This window comes from Homo sapiens, chromosome 17 (genome assembly GCF_000001405.40).
Source record: "Homo sapiens chromosome 17, GRCh38.p14 Primary Assembly".
Taxonomy (NCBI): domain Eukaryota; kingdom Metazoa; phylum Chordata; class Mammalia; order Primates; family Hominidae; genus Homo; species Homo sapiens.
Window position 1 is genome coordinate 68,618,280 of NC_000017.11, and position 21,731 is coordinate 68,640,010.

General features: G+C 41.0%; 1 long non-coding RNA gene across 1 annotated transcript in view, besides 2 other annotated features; it reads left to right on the plus strand.

Moving 5' to 3' along the window:
- The window catches only part of LINC01482 (long intergenic non-protein coding RNA 1482), a 51,453-nt gene continuing 39,596 nt past the window's right edge, over nucleotides 9,875–21,731 (plus strand). Inside the window, exon 1 of the long non-coding RNA NR_110825.1 lies at nucleotides 9,875–9,907. This is a non-coding gene — a long non-coding RNA (long intergenic non-protein coding RNA 1482). The remainder of the gene's footprint in view (nucleotides 9,908–21,731) is intronic.
- Nucleotides 9,889–10,183: a silencer, noted in NCBI's record as "tiled region #13674; K562 Repressive DNase matched - State 22:ReprW". NCBI's record gives its function as "represses a minimal TATA promoter and a strong SV40 promoter by Sharpr-MPRA in K562 cells {active_cell/tissue: K562}" and the evidence as "EXISTENCE:reporter gene assay evidence [ECO:0000049][PMID:27701403]".
- Nucleotides 13,309–13,808: an enhancer, noted in NCBI's record as "H3K27ac hESC enhancer chr17:66627729-66628228 (GRCh37/hg19 assembly coordinates)". NCBI's record gives its function as "activates a minimal SCP1, AML or CMV promoter by ChIP-STARR-seq in naive H9 embryonic stem cells {active_cell/tissue: H9 hESC(naive)}" and the evidence as "EXISTENCE:reporter gene assay evidence [ECO:0000049][PMID:30033119]".

Sequence of the window (21,731 nt, forward strand, 5' to 3'; positions counted from 1 at the left end):
AAGTAGTTTTCTTAAAAGTCCCACACAGCATTCCTACTTAACATTAATGAACAGAACATAGTCACATGGCTACATCTAGTTACTAGGGAAACTGAGAAACGTATTTTTTTTTTTTTTTTTTAACATTGTAGCCTCTGCAGGAGAGGAAATCATGCAAGAAGGGGTTTGGGATGGGTATTGAGCATGTACATCCCAGTATCTTTCACACTCCCAAACCTGGGTTTCCAAATCTTTCTTCTGAGTTTTGGAAACATGTATTTCCCTGGCTACTAGATATTTCCACCTGTATGTTACATGGGCAACTAATTTGAACATGTGCTAAACTGAACTCCAGTATATTGACCCACAATAATTACAGTCTTCCCTTTTATACAATTATGCCGTTAACTACTTGGTCAACCTACGTTCTCATTTTTATACTTTTCTGTTTCCCTCAATTTCCATACTCAATCTTATGAATTCTCTCCTAATTATTTTTCGAATATATCCTTTCCCCTCCATTGCCACTTTCAGAGTCTTTGTTCAGGACCTCATGATTTTCTGACTAGAGAATTTTTATTTTGCTTTACTAATCTCAGTCTTGAACATTCTGATCCATCCTTCATAATGTTGCTGAAGCTATTTTTGCAAAACACAAATCTGATCATCCTGTTCCACAGCTGAGAGTCTTACACCATCTACACTATTAAGGCCAAGCTCTTTCAGAAGGCATCTTTCATGATCTGACAACTGCTTCTACTTTGGCTTTATCATTGGCCATGTCTTACCATGTACTCTGTGTCTCATCCATGCCATGGTGAAATGGCCAGAACACCCAGGCAGAGCTAAGCCATGTTAAGACAAATCTGAAATTCTGTCTGTCTCACCTATCTGTACTATACCCCCTACTTTGGAGCTCTTGGAACTCATGTCCTTCTAACAAAGCTCAGCGGAGTTCTTCATCCTAATGAAAATGACAAAAGGCTTCTTGATGTTAGGCGAAAACTGATGAGTTGGATTTGCATATGTTGCATTAAGCTGATGGTATGAAATCCAGGTGGAAACATCTGGTGCCCTGAGAGTCTAGGGGGTGGGGAAGTTTGCAAATAAAGATTTTCATAAGGTCAGCATAGACCTCACAATATATTCTGTGAAAATGGATGAGGCAGAAAGTTTCAGAGGAATGCTTCAATGTATTTGGTTGCAAATAATACAAACATAGCCAATAGTTCCCTACTTATATCTATACCTGTTGCCATTCCAGTATGTGTGTAGTTGTAATATTGACTTGGCAGTTCCAGATGTCAGGACACAGCACTGGCTTCTGTATTCTTCTTGACCTTTTCTCATGGTGGCAGGATGATGCAGCTCAATGCTTTATGTTTTTAATGTGGGAATATCCCAAGAAGAAAGGGAAGGGAAGGAAGAAATGTTTTTTCTCATTATGTGCCTTTTATAGGGAGTCAAATATTTCCCAAGACCCTCTTGGAGGTCTTCCTTTTACCATTGATCAGAAATGGGCCATGTGCCTGCCCTTACATCAATCGCTGCCAAAGGGGGAGAGTTTCCCATGATTGGGGCTGATCAGTTGTTGATAGATGGTGAGAATGGCAACTGAAAGTGCCTGCCACAGAGTTCACCAAGACTTAGGATTGAACCACAGTTTTAAAAGAAAGAACATGAGGCTAAGGTCAGAATGTGATCAACAATGTCACATGTAGCAAAGATGTCAAGACAAATGAGGACTGAAGAAAGACTGAGAAGTGACAATGAAGAAATTGTTCTTGAACTCTAACAGCAATTATTTCAGTTGAGTGATTAGGCTGAAAGCAGAAGGTCAGGGAGCTATGGAGCAATCCAACAGTGTGGAAACACAGGTAGAACATATGGGGCGATGTTTTTAGTTTTCTGAGAGTGAAAAGAAGGTGAGTGAAAGGGTAAGATAGCTAGAGGTGGGAGGGGACTGCAAATAAAGTGAGAAATGAGAGTTTTTTTTTCAAAGCAGGGAAACCTGGTGATATGATTTGGCTGTGTCCCCACCCAAATTTCATCTTGAATTGTAGTTCCCATAATCCCCACATGTTGTGGGAGGGACTAGGTGGAGATAATTGAATCATGGGGGCGGTTACCTCCATGCTGTTCTTGTGATAGTGAGTTGTCATGAGATCTGAAGTTTTTATAAGGGGATTTTCCCCCTTTTGCTTGGCCATGTGAAGAAGGATGTGTTTGCTTCCCCTTCCGCCATGATTGTAAGTTTCCTGAGGGCTCCCCAGCCATACTGAATTGTGAGCCAATTAAACCTTTTTCAATCTCAGGTATGTCCTTAAAGCAACATGATAATGGACTCATACATTTGGCTATGTTTAAAGGTAGGGGGTAAGGAATCAGTGGAGAAAAAGAGATAGAAAGGATGTAAGAGGAATGGAGAAAAGTGGATATGCTAGGTACTATGGGGGATAGAAAAGAGGAAGACAGGCATATAATTCAAGGCTGGAGGGAAGGATGGAAAAAGGTAGGTTTGCCTGTATTTTGAGAGGATGACAAAAGAAATACAAAGGCTTAAAATAGCATTTAGAGAATCAGGAGGCCTGGTCATCTATGGAATTTATTAAGAAGTAAAAGAGGAGAGGAGAGGTAGAAGAAAAGAATAGGTTAGAAAAGTGACAGATTAAAATGAGAGGAGAAGATCTATAAAATCAAAAATGGGGAAAATTCTCCAAGTTTAGAACAGGAACTAGAAAAAGTAAACAAACCCCAAACAAAAACACAAGTCCTGGGAAATTAAATTTAATGACCAAAGAGAAAGGAAGCCAGAAACCTATAAATTTCCGTGAGAAGGGAAGGGTTACAGATGAAGAGAAATTTGACATGGAAAATCCATTTTTGGCTTTTCCCAACCTCATGCTGTTTGTGAAATAAATGATGTTTCTCAAGCCTTAAATGTTTCAATTTCCTGAGTTGAAAGATGCCATGTTACTGTTATACTATTTATAAAGTTATAAAGTAAGGCTTTGTTTGCTCAATCTTACTCAGGATGAGAAAATGGAAAATATGCCTCTGGGATAGAATTCAAGTCAGTTAAATTGAGACACCTATAGCATATGCGTAATATGTATGAGATGTTAGGTTTGAGATGACCTAAAAAACAGCATCCTCCCAACCTGCCTCAATTGGAATGTGTTGAAAAATAGACATAAGAATCAAACAGATGTAGATAAAAATATCCCTTTTGTTACTCATAAAGCTCTATATCATAGGGCATAGCTTAGATCTAGCCAAGAGGCTTGCATGCACTACCCTGAGTCAAATTTATATCAGTCCCCCAAACTGGAGGCCTTTCATGCAGGAATAATCCTGTCCCAATTAGGGACATCTCAGTATATCCTCATTTGTTCTTTCTGGATGGCCAAGAACAAATGAGGATATACTGAGAAAGCAGGTTTCCTATAGGTGGCTGGATTTTCAAAGAGAGATTGGGGGGGGTGCTAAGTTAAGCAAACTCAAATCCTTTCGCCAAACTCATGAATCAGATAAGTCACCTCTTCTTCTCTGGGCAGAGTCATTGAGGAAGGCAGGGAGAGTCCTGCAGTCTAGCTCTAACTGACGTCCTTCCCATGGCTTGCAGGCAGATGAAGTTTCCTCCACAAAATAAGGAATTGTATTAGGGACAAGGGCACAGGATATATAAAGATAAAGAACATGGCCAGGCACGGTGGCTCATGTCTGTAATCCTAGCACTTTGGGAGGCTGAGACAGGAGGATCACCTGAGGTCAGGAGTTTGAGACCAGCCTGGCCAGCATGGTGAAATCCCGTCTCTACTAAAAATATGAAAATTAGCCAGGCATGGTGGTGGGCGCCTGTAATCCCAGCTACTTGGGAGGCTGAGGCAGAAGAATTGCTTGAACCCAGGAGGCAGAGGTTGCAGTGAGTGAGATGACATCACTGCACTCTAGCCTGGGCCACAAAATGAGATTCTGTCAAAAGAAAAAAAAAAAAAAAAAAAAAAGAACATGCCCATGCCTGAAGAGCCAAGGAACTTATAAGCTAGCATGAAAGAGAGGAAATGGCATGAATAGCAATACAGACATACAAACATTAGGGCAGGTGGTAGTCAGTGAAGGGTGAGGGAAATTGAAGAAACTGAAGTTGTAAGGGACTGGAACGTGAAGACCTTCACAAGATTTACCAGGGAATTTGGTCTTTATTAGACAAGCAATAGGAAACCATGGGAGGTTTCTGAGCAGGGGAGTGAGAAACTGAGTATCAGAAAGCAGTGTGTAGGATGGGTTAGAATGGAGGAAGGGCTTGAGGCAAGAGGAAATGAAGACCTGAATAAGGCAGTATTCAAGAGAAATGTTGGAGATGGAAACCATGGAAGATTGGATATGAGATATCAAAGGACATGGGAGAGTTAAAGGACATTCCAAGACAATGAGTTTGTTTTAGGATATATGGAGTTTGGTAGGTTGGAAATATCTGTGCCTTTTTTTTTTTTTTTTTTTTTTTTCAAGACTGTTAGAAGCAAACAAAGAAACCCACATAGACAAGAACAAATACATAAGCATTTACTATGGGGTGAGCCCTGTCCTAGGGTATAGAGATAGCAGCAAAGAGGTCCAACCTGGTCCTGGTCCTCATACAGCTTACAAGTGATCCAAACTGTTCTCATTTGTGAGTGGCAGGGCCTCAACTCTCATCCATGCAGTGTCCTAGATACTTAGGAAATATCTCCAAGGGGATGGGCCCAGAAACAAATCTCTCTCCTGCATTCACCACATTGCATATGTTCCACCCATACTCTCTGCCTCCAGCTTCCCTTTGTTCTATTCCCATTGCCCGAAAAACCAGTGCTCACGAGATGATCAATGTCACATGCAAGGGTGCGACTCAGGTTAGGGCTTCCTGTATACTTTGTGTTATGCCTTGTCTCCTGCACTCATCAAGTTTCTCTTCTATTGTCCAGAGTTTCACAGCAGCTGTCATGGCTTGTCTCTAATGTCTTCACTCCATATTCTGGAGCTTCAAGGGATCTGGTGAAGTGGATGGTGCACAGACATTATTTCATTCCCATTCATGTGTCCTTTATCACTTCTTTCAGTCCATTCCCTAATTGTGTGTGTGTGTGTGTGTGTGTGTGTGTGTGTGTGTGAGAGAGAGAGAGAGAGAGAGAAAGAAAGAGAGAGGTGTGATCTACACTAGCAGCTGACAGCTCCAAACACTTTGTTACTTAAGCAACTGCAACAAAGTACAATGATTGTTTAGTGAGGGAAGGTAAAGAGCATTACAAGGGTAGATTGTACTGGTGATAAGAGTCTAGAGCAGAGATTCTAAACTTTTGGGGTTCACAGAGGCCTTCGTGTTTTAGCAATTCTTTTAGAGTGCCCCATGGCAAAATAAATACCTAAGAGTTCCATTTATTAAGTAGTTAAGTCCTGATATTTTAATAAATTTTCATGTCCTAACAACTTAGTAGCTGCTTAAAAAGATACACAGGGCATACTGTAGAATGAAAACATATTTTATTCTTAAAGACCATGGTTACTTCCTAGTAACACGTGCATGCCTGTTGGGCGCTGCACAGCTTCTCGAACCTTGGAAGCAGATTGGACGTTGCCACCCTCGTTTCTTTTTTCACGTTGAATTCATGTGGTACTTGCTTCTTAGATCACATCTGCCACCCCAAAGCCAACTTCACCAAAATATGACACCATCAAAGGGAATGTAGTGACTTCATGTGGAAACTGTTAAGTACCTCTGACTAGGAATTCTCCCAGTGTTCAGCAGATGCCAGCCATCGTTGTGTTTCCCTTGAAAATTTAAAATATCCCAGAATGCTCCATGTGAGTTTAAAACAATGCCCTGGGGCACCTTAATATGTTGGGATGGGTGGTCAAGGAAGGCCTTTGGAGTGAAAGAATATTTGAATCAAGATGTTACCAATGAGAAAGGATAGTTCAGGCAAAAGAGTGCCTGTAAGAGCCTTCTTAACAGGGCAATAGCATTTATGAAGAAGTCTTCTTTGTGAAGGAATGTGGTGAGTTTGAACAGTGTATCTGCATTTCTAGAGCACTTATCACTATCTGATTTTATATTTCTATATATCTAGAAATCTATATCAATATGTACCATATATACATTTATGAATATTACAAACAACATATACTATATATTCTATGTGTCTGTATTATAAATTAATCTATTCACCTATCATTCTATTATCTATCTGTCTATCTATCTATCTACCTATCTACCTACCTATCTATGAAGACACACACATGCAATCATTTCCTTGCTGTTGCAGGGGATAAGAAAGGGAGTTCACTGGGCATGAGTCACATGGTGTCTTGCCCAGGCTGTGAAGCCTGGATTTGTAGCAGAATGAATGAGCATGGTTTTAGAATTTCCTCCAGCAATGTTTGACAATCCAGGAGCAGAAACAAAGAAAATGGATGGTTGGCTTGATTCGGGGTCAGGAATTGGCAAAATAGATGTGGCAGAAAATCAAGAGGTTTGAAGCTGTGAAGATTTGGAATGTTCATTGCCTTCACCTCCAAGCATGATTTACACGATGGCTTGGGGGAGCTGTTATTGGCAGGGAGGCCTTTGTGGCTCGCCAGTTGCCTGTCTTCCCCATGGCTGCCCAAGGTCACCTACAGATCCGAGGTTGCAACTGCTCCTTCTGACTTTATGTCAGCGTGGGAAGTGTGGCCTCACTCTGGACAAAGACTTCCAGGTCCCTGGGATTTATCTCACTCCTTCAAAGGATCACACTAGCAGATTTGTCTGAAAGCAACAGCATGAAAAATAAGCTTTTCCTTGACTTGCCAGTTTTGGTTTAAAGCACCAACAACTTGACAAAGCTTACTTCCAAATGCTTTATTTTTTTGTCCATATACATATATTTTTACATATTATGGTAAGCAGCTTCTAAAAGGGCTCTCAGTGGCCTCTGCCTCCTGGTTTTCATGCCCTCATGGAATAAAAGTGTGAGCTGAACCTAGTGACTTATATCTAATGAATAGAATAACGGCAAAAGTAATGGTGTGTCACTTCAGAGATTAAGTTACAAAAAACTGTGACTTTTCTCTTATTTGCCCTCTCTTGCTCCCTCACTTACTCATTTACATAAAGCCATCTGCTGTGTGTGACCTGCCCTCTGCAGAAGGCCATGGAGCAAAGAAACAATGGTCACTTCTGGCCAACAGCCAGTGAGGAACTGAAGCTGTCAATCCAACAAACCAGAAAGAACTGAATCCTGCCAACAACCAGTGAGCTGGGAAATAGACTCTTCCCCAGTCAAGTCTTGGGATGACCCCCAGCCCCAAGTAACACCTCCATAGCAGCGTGTGACTGATTCTAGGGCAGAGTCTAAGTTGTGCCTGAATTCTTGACCAACAAACAATGTAAATAATTAATGGTGTTTTAATCCTTTAAGTCGTGGGATAATTTGTTACATAGCAATAGATAATGAATACACAAACGTCACAAACTGTAAGATGCCATTAATGGTAAGATACCTTTTATTTTATGTTCCCCAAATAAGAAACACTCCTGCCAATATGATCTGCCAATATGATCTGTCATAAGATGGATAGCGCACTGTTGATTTTAATACATAGCATAATTTCAGAGATGTGTGAACAAAATGTGCATCTTACAATCAGTGACACTATGGTAGTTGTAATCATCACATACACAAATTTTATATAATGTATTTTTTCCTAATTTTTTTTTTTTTGAGACAGGGTCTCACTCTGTCACCAGGTTGGAGTTCAGTGGCTTAATTATGGCTCACTGCAACCTCTGCCTCCCACGCTCAAGTCATTCTCCCATCTCAGCCTTCTGAGTAGCTGGGACTACAGGTGCTCACCACCATGCCTGGCTAATTTTTGTATTTTTTTGCAGAGACAGGGTTTCACCATGTTGCCCAGGCTGGTTTTGAACTCCTGAGCTGAAGCGATCCACCCGCCTCGGCCTTCCAAGGTGCTAGTATAACAGGCATGAGCCACCGCGCCAGGCTCCTGGATGTTTTATCGTGGACATAGTCCAAGGTTGTATGCCATCTTTATCCCATCCATTTTTCTGTGTGTGTGATTTTTTTTTTTTTTTTAGTAGAGACGGGGTTTCACCATGTTAGCCAGGATGGTCTCAATCTCCTGACCTCGTGATCTGCCCGCCTCAGCCTCCCAAAGTGCTGGGATTACAGGCGTGAGCCACCGCGCCTGGCCCCCAATCCATGACAAAAAACTTCGAATAGTACATGTCCATGTATTATTTCTACCAGTTTTTATATACTTCCGGGAATAGTCTGCGCACACTCAAGCATCTCTCTTCCCTTGTTTTCTCTTCTCTTTGTTTTTTCTCTTTTAACACACTTGGTAGCACACTAAGTGCATTGTTCTGCACCTTGCGCTTTTCAGTGAGCAATGTGTCTTGGTAATAGTTTCATAATACTTTGTAAAGATCCTCTTCAATATTGAGGCTGAGAAGTCTGACTTTAGCATTTCCTCCACCATTTTTTCCCTCTAAATTATTATTATTATTTTTTTTTTGCGACAGAGTCTTGCTCTGTCGCCCAGGCTGGAGTTCCGTGGCGCAATCTTGGCTCACTGCAACCTCCACCTCCTGGATTCAAGCAATTCTCTTGCCTCAGCCTCCTGAGTAGCTGGGATTACAGGCATGTGCCATCACACCTGGCTAATTTTTGTATTTTTAGTAGAGACGGGGTTTCACCATGTTGGTCAGGTTGGTCTCAAACTCCTGACCTCGTGATCCACCCACCTCAGCCTCCCAAAGTGCTGGGATTACAGGCATGAGCCACCACGCTTGGCCTCTAAGATCTTTTTAAGATCTTTTATTTATTCATGATTTGTAAAGTTCTGTGATAATTTAGCTCTATTTTTCCTTCTGATGCTGGCTTCCTTGTATATTCTTTCAGTCTACAGGCTGCTAGCTTTTACTCCTGTATGTATGTGTATAAATGTGTGTGTGTGTGTGTGTGTGTGTGTGTGTGTATTTTTCTTTACCTGTTTTCTGTTTGTCTGGAACGGAAACTTCTATTCCTGTTATTTGACTGTTAGGTTTTCTGGGTTAATCCTTTCTCTCATGTCTTGCTTTTGCCCATAATTTTTATTTCCTGATCTCTATTTGCTATCTTTGTGGGAAGGAAACTGGGATGAACTTTATATTCATGGAAAGATAAAGTTCCATAGAAATTTTTACTTTGCGTGCTCTAGCTTTATTTATTAAGAGCTCTTCTTTCCTCACTGATTAATAAATTCTTGTTTTATGGATACATTATCTTCTCATATCTTTCCAAGGATGTTATGTTAAGGTTGTTTTATGGATGCATTATCTTCTCATATCTCTCCAAGGATGACATTTAGCACAAATCCCTTCCTTTCCTTTCCCTTTCTCTTTCTCTTTCTCTCTCTTTCTTTCTTTCTTTTCTCCCTTTCTGGCTCTGTCTTTCTCTTTCTTCCTCCCTTTGTCTCTCCTTTTTAAAAAATTAACCCAAACTTTGGCATATTGAGAAATAATGTGGGAAAAGAGGTAAGGCAGATGAAAGACCAAGAAACCACTTTTATTAAACAATTGAAGAGTCAGGTAGAGGATGCAGTTTAGTCTAAGAGTCCAGTGGGCCTGCAAACTCAACCCCAGAACTGGGAAACTTAGGCAGCCAATCACGGGCAATGCTGAACTGGGACAGGACTCCTCCCATGGTACGACTGTTCTCACTGAGGGGTAGAAAAAAACATGCTCTGTCTTGGAAAGACTCACTCCCAGGAGGAAAGGGTGGAGCTGAACTAAGTCTGACCGGTTCTTTCTCCCAGACTCACCTTTACTGCCCTGTGGGAGAGGCTAGTGGGAGGGTGGGCAAGGCCAGAGCGTGTCCTGCCTCCATGTGGAGGGAGATACGGGAAGCTGGTAAGTCTCCCTGCCAACCTCTCCTTGGGGTGGAGGGTCAGTTCCTGGTTTCTGGCACTCTGTGTGTGGGAGTAGGTGAAGGTGCTGACTGTTATAAATACTGAATTCCATCTTAGCCTCCAGGGTTGCTCTTGTGTCCCCCTCCTACACTCTGTGATATCAGATGTCCCCAGCTTATGAGTTTCTCTGACTCTCTGTGGTGGGGAGAGGCAGGTCTATTCTCAGCCCTCTGCTTTTATTCACAGCTTTCTCTGCCCTGCTAAAGAAGTTACTCCCTCTGCCCTGTTTCTCCTTCCTCAAAACTGTTTATCTTTCCCATTCAGGACATCTCTTGTCCTGATGTCTCTGTTTGTGAGAATTTATGTATTTTTTTCTCCTTTACTGTGGAAAGAGATGCATTAAAGCACAAGCTTTAGATTCTTACACTTGCTTTGCCGCATACTAACTATGTGACTTTGGACAAGTTATTTAACCTCTCTTTGCCTTAGATTCTTCAATTGTAAAATGGATTGTTATAAGGTTGGAAAGTGACAACACATGTAAAGTGCCCAGATTAACGTCTGGCACCCAGAGAACATTCAATAAATATTAGTCATCATCATTACCATCTCAGCATCTTCTTAGTGGAGTTTTGGGAAGGGTAGGATGTAAATATGAGTGTTCTATTAATATCGCCATCTTTCTACATCAACTTGTCCAACCTGCAGCCCACAGGCCACATGTGGCCCAGGATGGCTTTGAATGCAGCCCAACACAAAATTCATAAACATTCTTAAAACATTACGAGATTTGTGCATGGACTTTTTTTTTTTTTTCAGTAGCTCATCAAGTAATGTTAGTGTTAGTGTAGTTTATGTGTAGTCCAAGACAATTCTTCTTCTTCCAATGTGGCCCAGGGAAGCCAAAAGATTGAACATCCCTGTATCTACATGGTCTTCGTAGCTTTTGTTTTTATTGGTACTTTCTCCACACTGTAATTTCCATGGAGGAAAGGTCTATCTTTTTTTTTATTCTGTATTATATCTATAGCACTTGGCAAACACATGACCTATGGTATGTACTCAGACAATATTTGTGGGGTGAATCAATGAAAACAAATTCGCTCATAACATTTCTTGTAGGAGACAATATTGTATGGTAATCAAAAACATGGGCTTTTAAATGACACTGTTTGGGTTTGAACTATGGCTGGGTCATTCACTGATAGTGCAACCTTGAACACTTTCTTAATTTCTCTACCCTTCAATGTCCCCACCTGTAAACTGAGGATAAAAATTGTACCTACCTCATAAGGGTAATATGAGGACTAACAGCAATAAACTGTGAAGCATTTAACATCATGACTGGCACATAGTAATTGCTCAATGAACATTAGCTTCGATCATTGGTGGTGCTTTTGTAATTGTTTATTGCCTATATGCCAGTCACTGGGTTAGGCACAAGTATATACATCACTTACTGAGGCCCTATGATTTGCTGTATACTGTATTTAATAGCGTACACAGTAGTACTTCCTTTTCTTTTCTTGTTTTTTGAGACAGAGTCTCGCTCTATTACCCAGGTGGGAGTGCAGTGGTGTGATCTCTGCTCACTGCAATCCCTCCCTGCCTCCTGGGCTTAAGCTGTCCTCCTATGTCAGCCCTCTGGGTAGCTGAGACCACAGGCACACATCACTATGCCTGGCTAGTTTTTGTATTTTTTTGTAGAGACAGGGTTTCATCATGTTGCCCAGGCTGATCTCGAACTCCTGAGCGTATGTGATCCACCCGCTTCGGCCTCCTAAAGTGCCGGGATTACAGGCATGAGCCACAGCGCCCGGCTTGTAGTAGTTTCTATAGTCAGATACTGCGTGTGGTTTCTATAGTCAGTGGATTTGAATTCAACCCTGCTATTCAGACCTCAGCTGAATAACTTAGAACAAATTAGTTAATCTTATTGAGCCTCACTATTAATATTTGTAGAATAGGGTAATGATAAACCTACCTATAGGGTAGTTATGAGGCAAACCATGTAAAGCCCTTAGCACAGAGCTTAGCACATAGTACATGCTCAGTAAATATTAGCTATGATGATGATGATGTTGACAACAACAATTATGGTGGCAGTGACAATGATAAAACCATGGTAATTATAGTGGTGACAGGAATGATAGTGGTGACAACAGCGATGGTTGTGTCTGTGACAATGTTGATAAGGGTGTCAGTGATGCCGGCAATGAGGATAACCATACTGACCTGAGAGGCAGGAACATGCAGGAGTTATGTGCTTTGGTTGTAGAGTCAGAGGAACCTGGAGCCAAGTATCTGTTCTGTCTTAACTAGATGTGTGACTTTAAGGAAGCAATTTTATCTAATTAAATTTTGGCATCCTCTTCTGTAAAAACAATCATTGTTTCGCAGGGCTGTTGGGAAGTTTAAAAAAATGTTATATATCATTCCTTAAAGATGCCTATTTTTCATATTTTAACATCTCTGAAATTAGAAATGCATCTTGCAGTTACTGTCAGCCAGGCAGAACTAAATTTGTTTTAATTTTTAATTTTTGTGGGTACATGGTAGGCATCTATATTTGTGGGATGCATGAGATACTTTGATATAGGCATGCAATGTGAACATTCAGACTGAATTTTTCTTTCTCTTATATTCTCTTTCTCATGAAGACACAAGAGTAATTCTATGACAGTCACTAAATATAAGTACAAAAGTCTTCTCAATAAGTAGAAAATAAAACCTCAAACTGATAAACTGTGTTATAACTTAACTGACAGTGTTTTATTTACTTTTTAAAGGTACAAAAAATAACAGTTTGTCCTTCAGGTGATAGAATTTTAGTTTTGATGAAAAATAGTAACACGTTTTGAACACCACACAGTGTAATAGTTACCTCTTTCATCTGGTTTTGTCCCATTTTGCTGTAATAAGATTTACACAAACTAAGAAAAATATATACCTATAGTAGCCAGTCTTCAGAGGGTCCCTTGTGATCTCTGCCTTCTGGTTCTCACACCCTTGTGTAATCCCCTTCCACTCTGAGCAGGGATGATTTGTGTCTGGTATTGCAGAGAAGACAGAGTGTGACTTCTGAGGCCTGGCATCCAAACATTGCTGCATCCCTTTTACTCTTTTTTTTTTTTTTGAGATGGAGTTTCACTCTTGTTGCCCAGGTTGGAATGCATTGGCATGATCTCGGCTCATGGCAACCTCTGCCTCCTGGGTTCAAGCGATTCTCCTGCCTCGGCCTCCCGAGTAGCTGCGATTACAGGCATGCGCCACCACACCCGCTAATTTTGTATTTTTAGTAGAGATTGGTTTCTCTATGTTGGTCAGGCTGGTCTCGAACTCAGGTGATCCACCCGCCTCAGCCTCCCAAAGTGATGGGATTACAGGCGTGAGCCACCGCGCCTGGCCTCTCTTACTCTTTAAATCCCTCACTCTGGGAAAACCAGCCACTGTGTCATGAAGACACTCAAGCAGTCCCAAGCAGGAGGTACACATGGTGAGGAATTGAGTCCTCTTGCCAACAGCCAGTGAGGATGTAAGGCGTCCTGCCGACAGCCATGGGAGTGAGCCGCCTTAGAAGTGGGCATTCCGGTCCCTGCCTCCCCACCCTCCACTGACATCCTGGTTGTAATTTTATGAGAGACACTGCTTCCGAGCCATTCTAGCTGTCACCAAACCCTGACTCGCTAATCACACATTCTATGCATGTAACAAAATATCACACGTACCCCATAAATCCATAAAATATTGTATATCAGTAAAAAAGTATTGTTAACATGAAACTGTGGTTACTTCTCCAAGATGAATACATGCTTCACCAAATGAGATTTTATTTTTTAAGTGAAGGAATCCAGTTAAAAGCAAAAAGAGGTTAAGAAAAACAAGATAGGCCAGGTGCTGTGGCTCACTCCTGTAATCCCAGCACTTTGGGAGGCTGAGGTGGGTGGATCCCAAGATCAGGAGTTCAAGACCAGCCTGGCCAACATGGTTAAACCCTGTCTCTACTAAAAATACAAAAAAAATTAACCAGGCGTAATGGCGTGTGCCTGTAGTCTCAGCTACTTGGGAGGTTGAGGCAGGAGAATCGCTTGAACCCGGGAGGCAGAGGTTGCAGTGAGCTGAGATTCACTGAACTCCAGCCTGGGTGACAGAGTGAGACTCCATCTCAAAAAAAAAGAAAAAAAAAAAATAAATCCAGAGGTCTGATGAATACCCAAAAGTCGGCTGTGGAGGTCCCTCTGCATACGAAGGGTAGGACCCCAATGGTTGTGTTTCACTCTGTGTGTGTGTGTGTGTGTGTGTGTGTGTGTGTTTTCAAAGTTGGCAATTATGGAGTCTTTCCACTGATTCAAACTAATAAATCACCATCTCTCAGTACAAACTTGATTTGGAGTTAAAAGTCATGTCAATCATGTATATCGTATTAAAATGTAATAAAAGTGAACACTGAAATTTTTACAAATAACACCATGAAGGAAAATTCGGCTGAAGACATTATAGCTAATTTGTAAAAGGATAATTAGGAATATTCAAGAAACATAGGGATGTGAATGTTCAAAATTATTAGTATCTGGAAGTAATAAATTGTAACTTTTTTTTCACCCACCAGATTAGTTAAGAACAAAAGAAATGTGATGTGTCAAAGTGAGGAGAGAGACTGTGGATGGGAATGTAAATACATGGTTCAATTTTTCTTTTACAAAAGACTTGTAATCAAAGTTATACATGTACAGAGCTTTTAAAAAGTCCAGTGGTACCATGAGGAATAATATAAAAGATAGTAATCTCCTGCCCCACCCCTTCTCACACTAGATCCTGTTCCCTGGAGCCAACTGTTGTCCACTCTTTTAGCAAGTTCTTTCGCTATTTGCTTTTTTTTTTTTTTTTGAGACGGCATTTTGCTCTTGTTGCCCAGGCTGGAGTGCAGTGGAGTGATCTTGGCTCACTGTGACTTCTACCTCCTGGGTTCTAGCGATTCTCCTGCCTCAGCTTCCCAAGTAGCTGGGATTACAGGCATGTGCCACCACGCCCAGCTAATTTTGATTTTTAGTAGAGACAGGGTTTCACCATGTTGGCCAGGCTGGTCTTGAACTCCTGACCTCAGGTGATCCACCCGCTCAACCTCCCAAAGTGCTGGGATTACAGGCGTGAGCCACCACGCCCGGCCTGCTTTCATATCTTAAAATAATATGCTTAAGGAACTCTTTCTCGATTTTTGGTTTTATGTATTACTATTGACATCTTACTAGAAAACAAGAGGCTCTACCTCTGTCTTAGTTTTTGTTCCCCACAATAGTCGAGTTGCCAATAAAATGTAGGATGCTCATTTAAATTTGAATTTCAGTTGAACAACAAATCATTTTTTATACAAGTATGTCCCAAGTATAGCATGGGCAAACTTGTATGAAAACATGATTTGTCATTTATCTGAAATTCAAATTTAGTGGGGCGTTTTGTATTTTTATTTGCTAAATCTGGCAACCTTGCGTGAAGGAGACACAGAGATAAAGACAGTACATGATATGGTTTGGCTATGTCCCTACCCAAATCTCATCTTGAATTATAGCTCCCATAATTCCCATGTGTTGTGGGAGGGACTCAGTGAGAGACAATTGAATCATGGGGTGGTTTCCCTCATACTGTTCTCATGGTAGTGAGTAAGTCTCATGAGATCTGATGGTTTTATAAGCAGAAACCCCTTTCGCTTGGGCCTCATTCTCTCTTGCCATATAAGAAGTGCCTTTTGCCTTCCACCATGATCGTGAGGCCTCCACAGCCATGTGGAACTGTGAAAAAGAACTCTTTTTCTTTTTTTTTGGAGACAGAGTTTCACTCTTGTCACCCAGGCTGCAGTGCAATGGTGTAATCTCAGCTCACTGCAACCTCCAACTCCTGGGTTCAGGCGATTCTCCTGCTCCAGTTTCCCGAGTAGCTGGGATTACAGGCACACACCACCACACCCAGCTGATTTTTGTAATTTTAGTAGAGACGGGGGTTTCACCATGTTGGCCAGCCTGGTCTCGAACTCCTGACTTCAGGTGATCTTCCCGTCTCGGCCTCCCAAAGTTGTGGGACTACTGGCCTGAGCTACCGTGCCCACCCACCTCTTTTTCTTTATAGATTACCCAGTCTCGGATATGTCTTTATCAGCAGCGTGAAGATGGACTAATACAGTACACAATTTAATCAAAAGGCACTCCGAGGAAGCACAAGCAAGAATGAAGGGAGAACGAGAGAATGAAGAGAGAATAGTCAACGAAGGGTCCATTTAGTGAGTGGATTGTCACTGTGGACGATCTGAGCTCAGTCATGCTGGGAGCCCTTTGAGAGACTATGGAGCATACCTCAGAATTGTCCCGCTAGAGGGCAGGAGGGTGGAGATACCAGTGCACTGGCTGCAGTCCCTCCTTGGTTAAGGGTGGTCCTCACATGTCTGGGTTGCCCTCGTGCTGTAGCCACGCATTTTTATTTCTCCCACCTCCCATTCTTGGGTAAATCAACATCGTATATTTACACTACAATGATTATATAGCTGTGATTCACCACTGAGCTGCAATTGCGTGTCTCACACAACTTTTTGTATTCTTGGGCTTAATAATTGCTTCCTCCATTATTCGCTTTAGGTTTCCATTGCATCCATTACTAATTCAATCCTTAACTTTCTAAGTGAATGGATAATCTGAGAATACATTTGACAGCTCAGGTACTCCCTCAATTTCATCATCTTTTCTTGACACCCTCTCACTCTGATCCTTGTTCTGCTTTTCTCATCTGGTCTGGTTGCTTTCTAGGCCTACAGGTCTTAAGATGTCTCTTTACTGCCATTCCTGAAAAATCCTGTAACTCCTGTTCTGGGTTGGATCTCTGTTTCTCAAATCACAAGCCCTTACTTTCTGGGTGTACTTTCTTATTTTGATGGAGAATATTCTCCAAGAACCTCCTGATATGGTTAGGCTTTGTGTCCCCACCTAAGTCTCATCTTGAGTTGTAATCTGCATAATCCCCACGTGTTAAGGGAGAGACCAGGTGGAAGTAATTGAATCATGGCGGGGGCGGGGAGGGGGAAGGGGGATTGGGGGAGGTGGGGGAGAAGGGCGGTTTCCCCCATGCTGTTCTCATGATAGTGAGTGAGGTCTTATGAGATCTAATGGTTTTATAAGGGGCTCTTCCCTCTTTGCTCGGCACTTCTCCTTTCTGTCACCTTGTGAAGAAGGTGCCTTGCTTCCTCTTTGCCTTCTGCCATGATTGTAAGTTTCCTGAGGCCTCCCCAGCCATGCCTGAACTGTGAGTCAATTAAACCTCTTTCCTTTGTAAATTACCCAGTTTCAGGCAGTTCTTTTAAGCAGTATGAAAACAGACTAATACACCTCCCAAGAAAGAATTCATGAGAAGTAAATTTTTGTATTCTTGCATGTCTGCAAATATCTTTATTCAAATAAAGAACATCGTGGCTGAATATCAAATTACATTGGGCATTATTTTCTCCAGAATTTTGAAGGTTCTGCTCATTGTTCAATTCCAATAGCATTCTGAAGCCTTGTTCATTCCATTTGATCTGCTCTTTTCTCTTTGTTCTGAACTTTGTTGTTGTTGTTGTTGAATTTCATCGTTATGTGCCTTGTGGGTCTTTTCCCCGCTATTTATTGTGCTGAACACTTGATGAAAACTTCCAGTCTGGAAAATCACGGCCTTCACTCCTTGTGTTATTTCTTTGCAAATTTCTTCCCTTCTGTTTTCCATGTACTCTTTTTCTTGTAACATTTCTTCTTTTCTTCCTTCTTTTTTCCCTTTTTTTGGATGTAGAATTTCTTGAATAGACCCTTTAGTTTTTCTATCTTTTTTCTCTTATTTTCCTTATTTTATCTTTGAGTTTTACTTGTTGGTAGATTTTTTCAACTCTATTTCATTTCAAACATTCTATCAAATTAAAAATTTCTACAATTATTCTTTTAATTTCCAAGAGCTGTTTCTTATTCTCTTATTATCTCTTTTTATAGACCATCATTGTATAATAATATAACTATTTCTCTGAGGATATTTATTATAGTTAAAAAAGTCATTTTGCCATCTGCATTGTCTTTATTTCCATGAAATTTTTTCTCTTAGTTTGTTTCCCACCCTGCCCCCTGACCCTCAACGTTTTTTTTTTTTTTTTTGACATTCAAAGCTTGGAAGAGAGCTGGGACCCAACTTTGTAACATACCAATTCAAAGCAATGCAAAACTACGTAAAAGCTGACGTCAATGTCTAACTCTTCTAGGCTGTTCATTTATACTTACCAGAGAGACACTAAAATGCAAACTCTACACTGGTGGGTAATTGACAAAAGCCTGTCAATTTGGAACTTCACTGTCAAGTGATCAAGTAGTAACCTGGCATTTCACTGGGAGACTTTCAGATATCAGTGTCTGTAGGATTTTTCTCCTGGACTAATCAGTTTCCTTAAAAAGGAATCCTATAAGACCCTTCCTGTGGTCTAAGTCTAGCTGCTAATGTTCTTGAAGCCAAGTGGAGATAGGGCTGGTACCCCCAAAACTGGATTTAGACTTCAAGTAAAAGAATGTTTTGCCTCCCAGGCTGGAGTGCAGTGGTGCAGTCTTGGCTCACTGCAGCCTGGACTTCCCAGGCTTAACTGATCCTCCTGCTTCAGCCTCCCGAGTAGCCGGGACCACCACCACCATTTGTAGAGATGGGGGTTTTGCTGTATTGCTCAGGCTGGTCATGAACTCCTGGGCTCATGTGATCTTTCTCCCCAGCTCCACAAAGTGCCAGGATTACAGGTGTGAGCCACCATGCCTGGCCTAATACACTCTTTAATACAATAATACCTTGTAGATCTCTTTCCATTTCCAATAAATATAGATCATCATTGGGAATGAATACAAAGTATTCTTCTATATAGATCTGCCTTATTTTGCTTATTAATCTCATATTAATGGACTTTCAAGTGATTTCTAGTTTTTCTCTATTGTACAGCACGCAGTAATGAACATCCTTGTGTAATTCCTAGAATTGTGACTGCTTGTGGAAAGGTATGCTTATTTACATGTTGATACCTGTTGCCAACCATCCTCTAGAGGTCTTGCCCACCAGTGTTTCATTTTTAGATAGTAAAATCCATTTCTCTTGACTATTTGATTTCTTTGATTACTTCAAGCCTTAGGAATTTTTTTTTTAAACCTAGCATAGCTTTATGTCATTTTTCTATAATTTGATTAAAAAGACAAAAACTATAATCCAAGTGAAGCACAGAGGCTTTCGACTTCCTGATTTTATTAGAAATCAAGTGACAAATCTTTTCTTTAGGGCTGAAGAGATCTTTTCTTCCTTTCTTTAGGTGAGGAAGGGTTGATTTTTATAAATATTTGTTTATTTATTATTCTTATTTCTATGAGTCATTCAGGACTTATTCTTGTGCAAAATGTGAAAGAAAGCACACAGAAAACAATAAATAAAATAGTGCATCTGCCAATTCAACCACCTCTCTGTTGTCAAATTCATCCTTATCCCCAAGGGTAGTCTGAGTTTATCACTTTTGTGGGTAACCTTCCATTGACTTTCTTTTGCATTTACATATAGAGCATGCACAAACAGAAATACATAGATCTGTTGTGTGTGTTTTTTAATCTAAAAGTGATCATGCACACATATTCTGCAGAGTGCTTTTTCCAACCCATAATATGACTTTGTATTAGTCCATTTTCACTCTGCTGATAAAGACATACCTGAGACTGGGTAATGTATAAAGAAAAAGAGGTTTAATGGACTCATAGTTCCACAAGGCTGAGGAAGCCTCACAATCATGGTAGAAAGCGAAAGGCACATCTTACATGGTGGCAGACAAGAAATAATGAGAGAGCCAAGCAAAAGGGGAAATCCCTTATAAAATCATCAGATCTCGTGAGACTTATTCACTACCATGAGACTAGTATAGGGGAAACTGCCCCCATAATTCAATTATCTTCCACTGGGTCCCTCTCACAAATGTGAGAATTATGGGAGCTATAATTCGAGATGAGATTTGGGTGGGGACGCAGCCCAACTGTATCAGGCTTGGAGGCCTCTCTCTCCATGTCAGTTTCCCTAAGCTTACCTCATTCCTTTTACTTATTTATTTATTTTTGAGATGGAGTCTGGCTCTGTCACCCAGGTTGGAGTGCAGTGGCACGATCTCGGCTCACTGCAACCTCTGCCTCCTGGGTTCAAGCGATTCTCCTTCCTCAGCCTCCCAAGTAGTTGGGATTACAGGTCTGTGCCATCACACCTGGCTAATTTTTGTATTTTTAGTAGAGACCAGGTTTCATCATGTTGGCCAGGCTGGTCTTGAACTCCTGACTTCAAGTGATCCGCCCACCTCAGCCTCCCAAAGTGCTGGGATTACAGGCATGCATAATATAGATGCACTATAGTTTATTGAACTATTTCCAAATGATGGACATTTAGGTTGTTTTCCCTGTTAAAAATGATGATATAGTCAGCAACAAATGACTTTGTTTCTTCCAGGGACTCTTTCTCTGAGACAAATAATGGAAGTGGAATTGTCAGAGGCATGTGAACCATAGCAACTCCATCTTAAATAGGAGCTGGGTAAAATGAGGCTGAAACCTACTGGGCTGCATTCCCAGACAGTTAAGGCATTCTAAGTCACAGGATGAGATAGGAGGTCAGTGCAAAATACAGGTCATAAAAACTTTGCTGATAACACAGGTTGCAGTAAAGAAGCTGGCCAAAACTCACCAAAACCAAAATGGTGACAAGAGTGACCTCTGGTCATCCTCACTACTACATGCCCACCAGTCCTATGACAGTTTACACATGCCATGGCAACATCAGGAAGTTACCCTATATGGTCTAAAAAGGGGAGGCATGAATAATCCACCCCTTGTTTAGCATCTCATCAAGAAATAACCACAAAAATGGGCAACCAGCAGCCCTTGGGGCTGCTCTGTCTATGGAGTAGCCATTCTTTTATTCCTTTACTTTCTTAATAAACTTGCTTTCACTTTGCACTGCAGACTTGCTCTGAATTCTTTCTTGCGGGAGATCCAAGAACCCTCTCTTGGGGTCTGGATCGGGACCCCTTTCCTGTAACGGAACTGCTGGGTCAAAGGAGGAGTATATTTGAATTATCGTTGCATTTAGAGCAGTGTTTCTCAACCGTTTTTTCTGTTATTATCCTCCCCCCAGAAAAAATTAAATTGAAATTATTAAATTAAAGTAAAATGACAAGCTAATTTAATTGTAAATTAAGTTAATTAAATTACATTAAATTTCTCCCTGATACGAGAAATTAAATACTAAAGAATAAGATTTTGTTGAGTAGGGTTGTAATATTGCCCCCTTTGAGAATGCATGATTCGGATAAACACAAGTTGAAAACTTTTTGTTTGGCGAGTCTATGGAATAGACACATCCCTCTGTTGTAAGGGTTGTAAGATCCAACTCTTGAAACCTGTGCAGCCTCTAGTAATTGTAGCTTGTCTGGAGCCCTTCAAAAATATTTACTAAATGGAACTGAATGTTGATAACACAACGTCTTAGAACATTATCATACCCGCCATAAAGCAGAGCAGATAGACTGGGTTAATTTATTCTCCTTCCTTTTACATTAATTAACATTGTCAAGAATCACTAGAATGTCACTTGATAATTCACAGAGAAAAAACATGGAGAAGAAATAATTGGGCCGGAGGCTGTCACTCGTGAGAGCTTGCTTAGGCATTCCTTTTGCAGAAGCTGTGCATCATTGAGGAGCAGGGAACCTGGCCCATGAGGCTCATTGTTTGACATATGCTCTGTGAAAAGTAGGGTGGCAGGAAAACCTA